Source organism: Homo sapiens, chromosome 10 (assembly GCF_000001405.40).
Source record: "Homo sapiens chromosome 10, GRCh38.p14 Primary Assembly".
Classification (NCBI taxonomy): Eukaryota; Metazoa; Chordata; class Mammalia; order Primates; family Hominidae; genus Homo; species Homo sapiens.
Window position 1 is genome coordinate 21914732 of NC_000010.11, and position 16273 is coordinate 21931004.

Sequence of the window (16273 nt, forward strand, 5' to 3'; positions counted from 1 at the left end):
TTAACACAGTATGATTTTATGGGAAGTACTGCATCTACAAAATTATCTTTGTATACCACCTAGTATACAAAGTGGGCACTTAACTGTTAAGTGTCTATTCATCTTTCAATACTCAGTTCAAGTGTTTACTCTTTTTAGTTTTCTTTGGTCATCCCAAATAGAGACAACCTTACTTCTCTGACTATCTACAGAAGTCACTGTTCATACTAAAATGTGAAGCATATATACCGTATTGTAGAATGGTTATTTAAATTCATGTGTTATAACTGCTACCTGACATTAAGGTCCTAGAGAAGGCATATTTATCTCTGTAGTCCCTAGTAGTGCTTTGTTCTGATATACATTTAATATCTTTTTATTGAACTGGCTGAACTGTCTTTCTAAACATCTGACCAAAAGACATCTTAAGAATCAAATGTGGAAATAATTACTTGCATTTGTAATTTTGTTTGGGAGGAAATAGAAAATAATTTAGGTATACTAAGCAGGCAACAGGAGTTTTCTTAGGGCTCTTAGATGCTAAGTAATAAAAGCGAACTTGGGAGCACAGGTGAGCCAGAAATCCCACTTTCCCAATCTTACCAGACGACCTTATGTATGTGAAGCGTAGCAAAGGAATGGGTATTTAGAGGATGAATGGGAAGGAAAGAAATTAAACTGAAGAACTATTGCTATGACAAGATTTGGGTACAGATTCTGCCAGTGTAAAGGTCACTTGCTGGAAGCCTCTGAATCTCCCACTTTTAGCTTGGACCCTGCTTCTTAACCAATAGCTATATACAGACATCAAATATTTGCAGCTCAGTTTTAATTAACTTTTCATAAAATTCAAGGAATTTACGCCAAAAGTAAAACTCTTTTAACTTACATGTGCTTAACTAATTTACTGTATACTTATAAGAGCTGCGTGTGTTAACTCTTAAACCTCCTAGTGGTAGTTATACTTGTTATTCTAATTACATGATTCAATTAATTACCATCTAAAAAAGGATGAGATATGAGTAAGAAATAAGAATTGTTTCTATGAAAACCAAGTTGAATGCTTTGGCAAGCTCAAAATAAGAGTTGTTAAAAATGCTGTTTTAATGTCCCACCTAGGGTACCCCCATCTCCCAAAAAAAAAAAAAAAAGTCTGGCTTGGAGGTGTGTGCCTATAGTCCCAGCTACTTGGAAGGCTGAGGTGGGGGGATCACTTGAGCCCAGGAGTATGAGGCCAGCCTGAGCAACATGGCAAGACCCTGTCTCTAAAAAATAAAAATTAAATTAAATTAAATTAAAATGAAGTTAACTAGATGTCAGAAAGCCAATTATGAAAGACTTGGAGAAAACCATATATATCTACAAAGATTATACAATTACACTGTTTCACAAGACTCTAGTTTGACTCTTCTTTAAAGAAAGCAAGATTATCGGTATAGTTTATGCCAGAAAGAGTACAAGAAACTTCAATCAGTGGACTCTTATTTAAAAATAAAACAATGGCCAGGTGCAGTGGCTCACGCCTATAATCTTAGCACTTTGGCTGAGGTGGGCGGATCATGAGATCAGGAGATCGAGACCATCCTGGCTAACACGGTGAAACCCCGTCTCTACTAAAAATACAAAAAATTAGCCGGGCGTGGTAGCGGGCGCCTGTAGTCCCAGCTACTCGGGAGGCTGAGGCAGGAGAATGGCGTGAACCCGGGAGGCGGAGCTTGCAGTGAGCCGAGATCGCGCCACTGCACTCCAGCCTGGGCGACAGAGCAAGACTCCGTCTCAAAAAAAAGAAAATAAAAATAAAAAAACAATGGTCCTATATCACAAGAGTGGTACATAAAGTACACGTTTTAAAAGTTTAAGGTTGTACCTATCATTTTTTATTCTTAGAGCCTTAACAGGGCTCCTTTTTGACCACTGTTCCAATTACCAATCCAGATAACTTCGGGTGAAAAAGACTTGTTGTAAATTTCATAAATATCGTATTTAAGAAGATCTAAAATTAATACAAAGGTCATCACATACTACAAAACAAAAAGCGACAAAAATCTAATCCTGAGAGCAACTGAACAGTATTGTTTTGCTAATGTATTTCATAAGCAATCAATCTAAAGTACTTTCTAAAGTATTATAATATATATTTGAAAGAGTCTACTGCATTACATTATTTTGTTAGTGACCACTAGAAACACTAATCTAAGGTCCCCACAGCAGAATAAAAATATCAAATATTTCCTTTAAAAAGGAAAATCATCTTAATTTTCTTCTTGAAATCCATTTATCAAGAAGAAATAATTAGAATAAAATTTAAAAATTAGATTTAAAAGGTCTTGGAACCCTAATGCCTAGCATCTCAAAACCGAAAGGCCAGCAGATACCATCAAGTAAGTAAAAACTTTAAAATTCAAAGTGATCAGTTAAAAAAAGCAGAGTTTCTAAAGAAACTAAAAAGTTTCTGTAAAATTCCTCATTTTTGTATATTTTCTACAAATTTATGATGAGGCAAAACAATCAATCTATTACATGAATTAACAGCTATCACAGGCAAGTATTTTAAAGTAAATTATAAATCTAAGCCATAACAATATGTTGGTTCTAGTCTGGCAAATTACCCTGCATGCTAAACAAGAAATATGTTAATTTTACCAAATAAATTTTATTTCAAATTAGATTAAAATTACAAAGAAGTGTTTAATATTGATATCTTATGTAATATTCTATTTATACTGCCTCATGAATATACTTTTTAACTCATCTATATTCTGGTTTGCCTATTGCACGGATTCTAAAGTTGGCAAAAAATAATCAGACTTCAAAAAATAAGAAAATCTGCCCTAAAAATATTTTCTGCCTCATTTTCTCATAAACATACCAGTGTGATAAAGACTTTCCCTCCCTCATTAAGTCTTACAGACAGCATACAAACATTGCAGAGTATTTTTTCAAGCAAACAATATAACACACTAAACAACTTAAAAACAAACCTTTTAAATTACCAAAATACTGTAATTTTTCTCTATTAACTGTAAACAAAATATAAGATTCTATAAGCAATAACTATTAAGATGAACTATTTTGATGGAAGAACTGGTAATTTCTCAAAGGATAAAAAGAAGCACACTAGTATTTTGGTTCAATATCCCCTTTAAATATAAAATTTTCATTATGAGAAAAATAAAGGAAAATGCAGAAGTTGTAGTCATTAGCTTCCTTAAAAAATCAGGAAAAATAGCTCTAATATATAACTACAAAGTGGGTAGAACTGAATTAGAATATTATCTGGTCCTCTAGATTATAAACACTTATTTTCTAAAATAAAACATTTCTCTCCAAAAAATTACAATCTCAACCTCAAAATCTGTACACCAAAAAGTGTTTTATTTACTTTCAAATATTTATGTGTTGGGGATTTTCAAACCTGATGCAAAAATCAAAATTAACAAAGCAATAATTTAATAAAATATGCTTTGGTATACTAAATGTAAAAAAATAAAAGAAACTGACATCTAAATATGATACATATCCACATTTTATTATTTAATCAAGACTAAATAGAAACAGAAACTCATTACCTGTATAAGACAAAATGTCCTCACTCCTCTTAAATTTGCAAATAAAATGGAAAGCAATATATATTTTGGTACAATTATACAGATGTTCATGTAAAGTTTTTTTTTTTTTTTTTTAACACTATGTACTTAAATGCTATTAAAATAATGGGTGGCAAGCTACTTGAATACTGTTCCTTTTTACTGGTTATGCTTTTAATGATAACAGTGGATTAAATTTTTATTGCTTTTATCTCTGTACTAAAGATAGTATGTTTTTTTCTTTTTCTAGCATCTTGGGACTCTAAGGTGATCTAAAACCATTATAAAAGATAATTACAGAAACATATCTAAATTATCTTAGAATTATCTAAATTAGGTTTAACTTATAAAAATCCTACTCAATCAACATTATAAAGCATCCACTGCATATCAGCATTCAGAGAGCCGACATGGGCATAAATTATTTCATGAGTGATTAAAAATAAAAGATCTAATGTTATATAAAAGAGGTACATTTTACCTGGATGAGGTGAGGTAATGCTTTTAGTGTAAGGCAAAACCAAATCCCCAGTTTGCATGGAAGCAAATCATGCCACTGTGGTTTCATCAGCAATCTAAAGGGAGGGAGAAAAAAGAACACCATACAACATATGAGGAATATACAGAGAAAGTTGGGAGGCAAAATAATTCTATAAAGATCATGAATTCTTTTGTGAATGGCTACTTCAACAAAAAAAATGAAGAAAGTATGCACTGAAATATTTATAACTGACTTACTCCATCATGAAATACAGTAGTCACAACAAATGCAATATATATAGCATGTAAGAGAATCTAGGCTAAGATTTTGGGGAAGGAGGCTCCTAATCAAGTTACAAAGATAAACAAAAGCCTTCTTTCTAACCTGGGCTTTTCATCACTTTTGTACAACGAATTCTTAAGCCTTATGATTACTTCAGCTATAAAAAACTAACCATCATCAGAGTGTTCCCAAGTGCTGACAACCAGATATGAAGACTGTAGCATAAACAAACCAATACATAAAAATTAATGTCATTTGCAGTTCACTGAAGCATTACTCACTGATGTCATCAGAATAGATGACAGGCAGAATAGTCTCTGATCTCCATCCCACATTGATCCCAGTTCATGCCCTGCTGTGTGAACTATTTAAACCCTTTATTCCTTTCTATGAATCAATAGAAGAAATGGTGGTATCTTTTTGAGTGTACTGCATATCACTGCCTCTCTACATACTGTCACTCCTGAGCTAAGTGATAGGTCCGTCTAATAGTACTTTGTTTCTAAAGTTCAGTATAAAAATTTCAAACTAGAAGAATTTGAGGGATTATTTAAATATATAGTCACACTTTATATGGGGGAAAAAACCTGAAGACATTTTGCTTAAGATTAGAACTTGTCTCATAAACAATGGCACATTATTAGTCTTTTATAAGACTACCACAGATATAAATGAGAGCACATGTAAATAGACATACATATGAAGTTGAATCATATTAAAGATGTATTTTAAAACAGCTTCAAATTATAAAGTATTTTTATATGCTCTCACCTTTCATTTTTTTCTGAAGCACCGAGTTTTGATACATCCACACTCTTGCTGCCAGTCTTTTTTTTCTTTTCTCTCTTTTTTCTACTTAGTAGTTCATCCTTAATGTGGAAAGAATTATGGTTACAGGTTATCATTAACATGTACACTTCAAATGTTATCTAGGCTCTTCTGTGAAGGGTAAACATTATAGAGGAACATTTATGCAAATGTATGTAGGGTCCAACATGATTAAGTAAAATCATCAATCTTTCACAATAACTGTTGCCATGGTATCCAGGCCTTAAACACACATGAAGTTCAGGACTGTCAGTCATGTGCATCTCCATAGCAATCAAAGTTTTCTAAGAAGAGAAAGCATTCAACTCACTTTTTCTCATTCATCCAACTTTAATAATGTCACTTCAAAAGGAATGAGTAAACAGATGCTAATTCATGAATACTGATAAATATGTTTGATTATCTTTAACATATAAATAAAAACCCAAAGAATAAACTATAGAGTAGCATATTAAACCAAGAAAAGTGTAATAATTTTTTTAACCAATTGAAGTTAGAATATTATATTCATTTCCAATTTTATTTATTTACCTAAAACATTTTAAAAGTAAACATTCATTATATAAAGGCCTGTGACACAAAAAAATCTAAAATCAGTCTTAAATAAAAAATATTTCTATTTGGAAGGTGATAATGAAAACATGGCTCTACCTTCTAATTCCCAGCTAGATATTTGGGCTTTCACAAAGTTTTATAACAAACTTAAGTGCCACATTTTTTAAAAGAAGAATATTTTCTTATTTCATGGGTTCTTCTTGACTTAGAAATATGTCAAACATTGAGTATAAAACTATTAGAATGAGAAGTATACAGAGAGAAACAGAAATTTTCATCAGTTGAAAAATAAATGTCCAAAATTCCATATAAAATTAAGGAGGCTAGTTCATTTGATTTATTACTAACACTTACCAGTTGTTTTTCCAGGTAGATTGACCAAACCACAGCATAATGACCCACTGTGAGAATAATGAACAAGAGTAATGCCAGCTCAGCATTGCTCATTTTTCTCACCCGCCTGTAGTAGAATACAGGCTGTCGCCAATCTGGAAGTCCATTGATCAGAATATCATCATACCTACAGTACAAATATAACAGTTTTTCACGGGGAGTTTAAAATAAAAACAAAAAAAACTATTTGTGCCTATATTACAAAAAGGAAAAAGAAAACAAATTATCCAAAATAGATAATGTTTATGTACGTTCCCAGCATTATAATATCGAGTAAATTCAAAGCACTGTAGATAGCTCTAGTCACTGACACCCTTCAAAAAAGTGTCCAGTAATATACTGTGGATACCAGATCTCATGTTTTTACAGCACCCAAAGATGTGACTCCTGGAGTGACATCTAAACTAAAGGAGCTACGTGTAGTCTACCTGTCTACTAGTCTATAGTAAAGACTCTACCATTGAAGTCAGCAACAAAAAGGAGGATCTCAATAGGAGAAAGATCAAGATAAGAGCTGTTTGTTACCGTGAATTACATATTAATTGAATCAAATTCAGAATAAATTTTCTAGTCAGTGCTTTTATGTCTACCCCTAAACTACGGTGGCTCAAGGCTGAAGTATTTATACACATGATTTTATCAAAGCTTTTTAATGAGGTAAAAGCCTATAAAATTGAGTGTCTTTTAATTTTGTATTGCTATATTCCTTTAGAAAATAAAAAACTCCCAAATTAAAAAGAGATGTGGTAACAACCAGTGTTTATGTTGGATTTCTCAATAAAACTGTTTATTTGTAAACAATTAAGTGGCAATTTCCTCATTTTTGGCTTTTGCTGGAAGAGAAGAACATTAACAAGTAAAAGCTTTCCTAGTCCTTTAAAAAGCTGATGCATTTTAAATCAGCTTTCTTGGTACTATCAGGATAAAAAAGTTACTTTAAAATAAATTTTCAACTCAATTTAAATTTACTTGTCAGACAATCATTGAACAAATATCTTTGAGGTTAAAAATAAGGAGTAACATTTATGACTGTAAAACTCAAAATGGTCACATACAAACACTGTGTGTTCAACACACACAACCTGTTAATTGAACACAACTCATTAAATATTCTAATCACACTATTTCCAGAATTAAATCTTCACTGAAAGGCCTAATTTGGTGCAACACATTGACCAAAATATTTTAATTAAAAATATTCTGAGTTAGTCGCAGGCCTAATTACAGGAATAGAAATAGGGCCTATATTGTCAGGCAGGTCAGTAGAACTCGGTAGTAGGTTTTTCTCAAGTAAATTGACCGATCTAGGAATAATAGCGCAGCTGCTAAACTGCCAGTCTTGACATGTAAATCAATTTAAATGCAACAACTGCAGTAGCTACTTTGATAGTTATTAAATTGATACCTTGGAGATATGCTAAAAAAATAAAGCAGAGGATTTATTACAGGCAACTTCTTTTTTCAGTAGAAAAACATCAGATATAAATGTAAAATATATTTTATTAGCAAATCTAGAAAACCTGACCTTCTGATCAACTTAGGTTATTAATAACAATATCATCAAATTGGAATAACCAATGTTGAAAGCAAAGGACATTAATTAGTACTAAACTCTTAAAAAGCAAATTGTGTAATATACAAGAGTCTACAAAGTAATGTATGGTTTGGCAGTAGCTACACCAGAAAAATTTGGTGCTATTCTTTTTCAATGTTTATCGAAATTCTTGAATATTAACATCAAGATATAATAATATGACTTCATAAAAACTATCATTCATGTTATCAAAAATTTATGTTTAAATCTATCTTATAAATACTGATTCATTTTAAATGAGAAAATGTATAGGTAAAAAGGTTTCAAGTGCTCTAACATAAGATTACAACATTCAAATGAAGTCCAATCAACCTTAAGTCCTGAATCTATTCTCAATCCACATTCTACTTCAGATTTGTTGAGGGAGAAAAAAGGTGAATATAGAAATCATCATTTTCAGCAAACCTCTCCCATGAAATAACTTCAGGTAAAAAGTATAGTTATTGATAAAGAACATCTAAGAAAATGGAGACAATTCCCTAATAGCACTCTTAAGTATTAAATTTGCTTTGGGTATAACTAAACTATAGCAGAAGAGAAAACAGCTGAACTCATAGCTAAGAATCTCTTATCAAATATTTTATCACCATCATAACTGAAAGTGCTATGTGTCTGTTAATAGCTACTATTTTCTACCCTACGTACAAATTGTATTTGGTGTACAAATTCAAGATAGCAAAATCTCATGCACTGAACACATTAAACAGAACTAGATATTTACTAGCCTATGTCTGTCACTCTAAACAACAGTCTCTAAGGATTAAGCTTAGAATCAATGCTCTATTGATTTTACTATCAATGAACTATATTATAGCTCACACGACTGGCCATTTTAAGGAAAGATAGCTTCCATTATAGTTCATTTTTTAGAATATATGCTGTTAAAAGATAAATCACTGCTTTCTTGATGAAACATTGAAAATACATTTCTTACCAAAGTACACACAGACACTTTTCATAAGTTATTTAAGAAGAAATACTGTGTTGACAACACATAAAATTTAAAACATCACTGTATTAGGCTTTTCTATATTTAAACATATAACACTGTTAAAATGCTCTGTATTTGGGATTCATACAAACTGTTCTCAACTATTTATTAAAGCCAGATTAAGAATGTATAAATGTATGTGTTGTAAGATATAAAGAAAGAAATCTCTATGATAAAAAATATCACTAATGCTAAAAATCATAGGAAATTATAATGGCATTTTCTTGGAAATGAAAACATTAATCAATTCCACATATCCAACATATGGCCTAATGTGTGTTTATTTCACTTGATTTTCTTAAAATATACATCAAGAACATAAAATAATGGTTACATACTCATTAGTGAGTTTTATACTATAATCTGCAATTCATCAAACATATTTAGGCTAATACAAACACTGAAAAACAAATCTAAAATTTTTTCAAGTTACCAGCAGAAAAATGTACAGAAATTTAAAACGTTACAATTTTTTGAAATATAAAATAGTAATTATGAAACTAAAATTAAAAATCTGTATATTATGAAAATGAATATTTAAATAATTCTAGCATGTGCCTAATTATGAATCTTCTGTATTACAAAGCTTGAATTTTTAGTTTAAAACAATAATAACATAATTTCCACTTAGGTCACATTTTGAAACTGAATAAAAACTACTTGTACAAAGATTATAAACAGAAAACATGTCTAAATTAATTGCTGTCATTCTTCTTTGAAAAAAATATATATATGCCAAAAATTGTGGTACACTGCACTTTATTTAGGAAAGGTGCCAAAATAAATTTCCTATTCTCAGACTAATGGTTATTTTGATTCTAACACACCTGTAATCAAATTTACAATAACTAGTTAATAAATTTATAAAAGTTTAACATATTAAGGCTGAATAACTATACGTTTAACAGCATTTGTAAATGAAACGTTATTTAGTAAACTAAAAAACACATTCAACTTTTATAAATATAGTAACATGAAACAGACAAAAAATTTTAAAGTTGCACAACTGGGTTAGCAAAAGAAGACTGGTTAAAAATTCGTAATAGATTTTGAACAAAAGTAGGTATGTTAATATTACTAAAGCGCAATCTAGTATATAAATGTCATGACTAGTACTCAGTATTTTACCTCAACTAACATTCAGGGCACTCATAAAAATTTGTTGGAACATAGCTGGGCTACTATTTCCCAAAACAAGTTAGCTAAAGAGTTTAGAGAAGGCTGCTAAGCTAGGTTTTCTTACAATAACCAGGAAAACCTGTTATAGGCATGCTTTAATAATGACAGTCACTGGGTCTGAAAAATGCATAATTAGGCAAACTGTTAGGCAAGTTCCTCACTGTGTGAACATCATGGTGTACTTACACAAACCTATGTTGTATAGCTTCTACACATGTAGGCTATATGGTAGCCTACTGCTTCCAGGCTACAAACCTGTATAGCATGTTGCTGTACTGAACACTGTAGGCAATTATAACACAATGGTAAGTATTTGTCTATCTAAACTTAGAAAAGGTACAGTAAAAATACCATATTATAATCTTATGGGACTAGCACTGGGTATTTTTGTTGCTGTTGTTGTTGTTTTAGAGATGGGGTCTCACTCTCTCACTCAGGCTGGAGTACAATGGCACGATCATGGCTCACTGCAGCCTTGCAATCCTCCCATCTCAGCATCACAAGTAGCTCAAGCAATCCTCCCATCTCAGCCACCCAAGTAGTTGGGACTACAGGCATGCAACACTACACCCTGGTAATTTTTTTATTTTTTGTAGAGATAGGGTCTAGCTATGTTGCCAGGGCTGGTCTCAAACTCCTGGGCTCAAGCGATCCTCCCACCTCAGCCTCCCAAAGCGTTGGGATTACAGGTGTGAGCCACTGCGCCCAGCCAGCATTGTGTATGTGGTCCCCCATTGAGTCAAATGCCATTATGCAGTACATGACTGTATTTTCATGCTATATATGTTCTTGGGGGAGAAAAAGGCTTAAACGTTTATTCACAATTGCACTCCTAGGAATCTACCCAAGAGAAATGAAAACATATGTCCATCTGAAGATTTATGTGAATGTTCATAGAAGCCTTGCTCATCACAGCCCCAAACTGCAAACAACCCACATGTCCATCAACTGGTGAATAGATAAACGTAAGTGGTATATCCATACAATGGAATACTGTTCAGCAATAGAAAAGAATGAACTACTGGTATATGCTACAATATGGATGAATCTCAAAAACCTTATGTTAATAGAAGCCAGATACAAAAAACTACGTATTGCATGATTCCATTTATACGAACTGTCCAGAAAGGACAAATTTATAAATACACTAAATCGATCAGTAATTGCCTGGAGCTGGAGATCAGGGTGAGGAACTACGGCAAATGGGCTAAAGCTTTTTTGAAATGATGTAAATGTTCTAAAACTGGACTGTGATGATGGTTTGCACAAGCCTGTAAATTTACTAAAAAGCACTTAACTGTACACTTAAAACAGGTGACTTTTATTGTATGCAAATTATACCCAAATAAGGATGTTAAAAAATCAAACAAAACTGGCTTTTTCTTTTGAGACAGGGTCTTGCTGTGTCGCCCAGGCTAAGCACAGTGCGCAACTTCCGCCTCCGGGGTTCAAGCAATCCTCCCACCTCAGCCTCCTGAGTAGCTGGGACTATAGGCATGTGCCACCACGCCAGGCTAACTTTTGTATTTTTTGCAGAGACGAGGTTTTGTCATGTTGCCTAAGCTGGTTTCCAACTCCTGAGTTCAAGGGATCTGCCCTCCTCAGCCTCCCAAAGTGCTAGGATTACAGATGTGAGCCACTGTACCCAGCCAGCCTTTCCTTTTTTTTTTTTTTTTTAACTAAAAGTTATTTGGTTTGTTAATTTATCAATTTAACTGCTATTCCCTTTTCCAGCAAAATTCAAATAATGCATCTGATTTCAGAGAAAACACAATTATATAAAAGGGAAATAAATAGGAAACATGTCTATGACAATTTCCCAAATTACCAATTCCTGGAAGGTTACACATTTAAAAGTATTATTTAATGAATATTTATAGTAAATAACTGTGATACCAAAATGCATTTTTTCATATCAATATGTAGATAATCTTCTTTTAGAAGATAATGCTGACTGTGCTCTTTTTTTTCCTAAAGGAATTATAAACATTAAGTAATTGTCTGCAGAGATGTCTGTCTCCTGTATGTTTAAATACTCATAGGTCACCTGGCCTCAGGCACAAGCTTTAGAGGAGTGATTCTTAGCTTCATTAGTTAAGACTTTTGCCTCAAGGAAAACCAGTTACCAAAGAGTTACTTGTGCCTCAAGGGGTATAAATACTACAGCTGTTTGTGTAACTGTCACATTCATTTTTTCTATCAACTGTCTAAAATAAATGAGAGAACTAATCCTGAAGAGATGATGTTATTTATTAATAGATGATTCCATGTTAATGAAGAAACAATTTATATATGAGAAGTGATTTGTTTTGAAAAGATAGAAATAATTTTGGTAACTGAAAGAAATTACAAAGTTTATTGACTTTTAAGATAACAAACAAAAAGAAAAAAACCTCAAGCCAAAAATATTAGAAAACTAAATAAAGCTACCTTTACAGGCACATTCTTGATGTGTGAAACAAAACTAGGGCTCACAGAGAAACCAACTAGAAAATATGCACAGAATGACCAAAACTTCTTTCAACACGCTTCTTGGACTCTTTCAACACTATGGATTATCTCAAACCAGAGGAATGTCTGCTATGGTATCTGGACCAATGCCAGCCCTTGTTATAAAGTGAAGAACACTTTAAGAGAAGATCTTGAATCCCTGTGCTTTGCAATCTGACAAGCAGAGGTATTCAAATTAAACGGTTAAGATGAGAATCAAGAATGGTAGCTAACATTTTAGGATACAGACTAATTCCAGATAATACATTTGAGGAAAGATTCAGAATGTAACATAGCACAATTTATAGGGTTGTCTGGAGATGTATTACCCCCCTAGTGAAGGACACAGATATTTAGGCTGGCTTTTGCCTAAATGTCAAATAGCCAGGTGTTGTTTTGTTTTGTTTTTTACAGGTACTCTTGTATCGTAGAACATTTTCAAATTTTGGATTGTGGTCCACTAGTGTCTCATGAAATGAATTTAGTGAACCACAACCAACATTTTTAAAAAATAAATAAATAAAAAACACCAAAAGACTAGTCTAGCCTAGAATAGAAAATAATGTGTTTAACATGCAATAAGAAATATCTTGTGAAACTATTGTTTTAGTTATGTGTGTGTGTGTGCGTATGTGTTGTGGTCTGACTTAAAAAACTTAGAAGGCTGCTGAAATGATGTCTACATTCCATACATTCTGTAGGAGTAGAGGAAAGGGGCCTCTGTGTAATCTCCTCTTAAGTCACTGGCATTATAAACTACTACATAAATATATTGCCAGTCTTCTGAAAGGGGCACAGAGAAGTCTTAGAGTGAGGGGCTACCTCCACTCTGAAGTTTAACCCTGAATGCAGAATTGCCGGAGCAGAGTAAAGGAAGGGAAGGAGGCAAAAGAAATAGATGCAAGAGGCAAAGTTTTCTTTCTTCTACAGGCTTACAGAAGCTTATATAACTGGGTTATTCTGAGAGTGAGGAAATATCAAGAAAGAGTACTAACTTGACTATCACTACAGTCTAATTCAAACATTTAAGGAATGGGGGGGAAAAGCACCAAGCATCAGGCACAGATAGGAGCTATTACTGACATATGGGAAGGAATGGACATTTATTTGAATTCAGGCAGTATTTGTATCTCCCAGGGCATAAACACTCATGTTAAAAGTCGTATTAAGGAAGCCCGGACTTGCTAACATTATGACTCAAAATCCTGAAGCTTGTATGTATCAAATCAATCTAGTGAATACTTTCAATAAAATTAACTCTGCTTCAAACACACATTTTTAAAACACTGCATTTCTCGGAAGGAACAAAAATAAAATGCTAACATAATAATAAAATGTTTAAGAAGACTTAATTCTTTATAAACTGTAGCATGAAACTATAACATCTTAATTCAAAAGCAGAAATGAACACTCACCTCTGCCTTCGTTCATCATCCTTTAAAACTTCATAAATGGCCACCAACTAAAATAAAAGCATTACTTTAAAATAAAAATACTCTCAACTATAAGAAATCACATAGGAGGGTGAAGGCACTACAATACACATGCAGAAAATCCTATGTGCCTATATATACAATAAACAGATGAAATCTCCTTTATAAGTAACACTATGTTTTGGTAGTACCTTAAGAGATTAAAAATGCTTGATATCAAAATAAATCTTTGTGACAGTTACAAAAGTAATACTTATCTTAAAATGTGCATTTAGAAGCAAAAGCTGTAATTTAGACAAGAAAATTATGACAATTATGACCCTCCAAGAATTTAGAGATGCTAATACAAAATAGTAAAAATGCATTTTGTAGAAACTTGAAAAAAAATATACACTATATTTTAAACTACTACCTCATTTTCAAATGAAAATATTCCATATATAAGTGAATATTTCTACCATCGACATGTTAATACATTTGTCACAAAATATATATATAATAGCATATTTCACTTACTTGTCTAAACTGAGTTTCTGCATTTTCATCTTTATTCTTGTCTGGATGTAAAGTTAGTGAAAGCTTACGATATGCTTTTCTGATGTCTGCAGATGATGCATCCTGGAGGTGGTAGGGGGAGGGGAAAATACAAAGCAAACTTTGTCAGAAAAAGAAATTCCCAGAACCTTGTTAAGATCTGAGAAGACAGCCAACCAAGTGCAGGACCCCAGGCAATGTAATTTGAGCAATCAGTCTTAACAACCAGGCTATGCAACAAGCCTGACCCACATGACTGAACAATTATTCAATCTAATTTGGCTCTCCTCTTAACTTTTCATTACCATACAGTCATTTAAAGAAGACAGTATTTGGCGAAACTTTTCAAACACTTGCCTTCCTAAAATTAACCAATAAATCTTTTTCAGTAATTAAGAGATCAAAAAGAAACAAATTAAAAATTAATACATCGGTGTGCCTTCAAAGAAACTCTTTATTTACTGGCAAATGTTAAAGCCAATTTCTGAATCCCGGGCTAACCATATGGTTTCTCTATTATTTATATTGAGTTTATCATCTCAGCAACAACCTATGGAATCTCACTTTCACATGTCAAAAAGCATGCCTATCTGAAGGGAGTTAAATTAGCATTTATCAAAAATTATTATCATTAGAAAGAGTTAAATATACTATACTTATTTACTTAGTACTTTAAAGGGTATTTTCAATGTTGGCCAGCCTCCTCAGTCTGGTTCATACAAATAAATTTGCCCAATATTTATGTATTACTTGTATAGTTTAAATATATTTAAAAGGTTACCGTGGTTCAGTACTTAGATTAAGTGGATATTAAAATTACATTTTATATAATCCTGTGTGCACAGGTAAAATCAGACAACATCATTTTTACATGGCCAGTATAAAATGCATAATAATAACAAAGAATACACTGTCAAGTAGGGTTTAAAACTTTTTTTGAGACAGTCTGATTCTACCACCCAGGCTGGAGTGCGGCGGCACAATCTCAGCTCACTGCAACCTCCACCTCCTGGGTCCAAGAGATTCTTGTGCCTCAGCCTCCAGAGGAGCTGGAATTATAGGCATGCGCCACCACACCCAGCTAATTTTTGTATTTTTAGTAGAAATGGGGTTTCCCCAGGTTGGCCAGGCTGGTCTCGAACTCCTGACCTCAAGTGATCCAACAGCCTCGGCCTCCCAAAGTGTAGGATTACAGGTGTGAGCCACCGCGCCTGGCTGGGGTTTAAAACTTGATCTGTATTAAACTTAAAGTGTATTAAAATAACATATTAATATTGGGCAAAATGATAGTAAACTTGCTTACTAAATGTCTCTCATTTGATAGCTGACTGTCTAATTAATTCCAAAAACTATTAAGAAGTTCAAATGATGAAAACACCAAACCAAACCAACACAAAAAATCTATATACCTGGGACTAAATATTATCAATAGTTTTTAAATAGAGTTGGAGAGAGACAAAGTGAGGCTATAATTAGTCTGTCAGGCTTGTCTTTATAAACCATTATTTTTATTATCAGTTTTCTGGGGCTTGTTGCTCCAGACTAGTATGTTACCCAGGGTGTGAGTATTTTTGTGACTTGTGGAAGGCTGAGGAGCTATAAAAATTAACTAAAGTACTGCAGGTAACATGGTTGTAATTTTCATTCTACTTTGCTTAATAAAATTGACATGTTCCCTACATAGACTACAGATAATGTGGTAGAAATAAATGATTATTTAATGAAAATCTGTGATGAATCCTATTGTTGAGCAAAGACATCAAGTGTCAAATGAATAACCAATCTCTAATTGGGATTTTAATTGTAGATTTTTTTAAATTGGGACTATATAATAAACCATTCCACAAGTATATTTCATACAAAATAATAGCTATGTATTTTCTATTACAAAATTAATACATGTTCACTACAGAACATTTCTTACTTAAAAATAAAAACAACTAATAG

At 32.7% G+C, this 16273-nt stretch overlaps 1 protein-coding gene across 4 annotated transcripts in view; it reads right to left on the reverse strand.

The window, feature by feature from the left end:
• DNAJC1 (DnaJ heat shock protein family (Hsp40) member C1) overlaps positions 1-16273 on the reverse strand; it is a 247183-nt gene that overhangs the window by 158184 nt on the left and 72726 nt on the right. For all 4 annotated transcript variants that reach the window (NM_022365.4, XM_011519614.4, XM_047425628.1 and 1 more), the window contains exons 2-6: positions 14309-14410; positions 13775-13821; positions 6067-6232; positions 5101-5198; positions 4048-4141 (exon numbers count right to left, since the gene is read on the reverse strand). In NM_022365.4, coding sequence (NP_071760.2) covers positions 4048-4141; positions 5101-5198; positions 6067-6232; positions 13775-13821; positions 14309-14410 — 507 coding nt within the window. The remainder of the gene's footprint in view (positions 1-4047; positions 4142-5100; positions 5199-6066; positions 6233-13774; positions 13822-14308; positions 14411-16273) is intronic.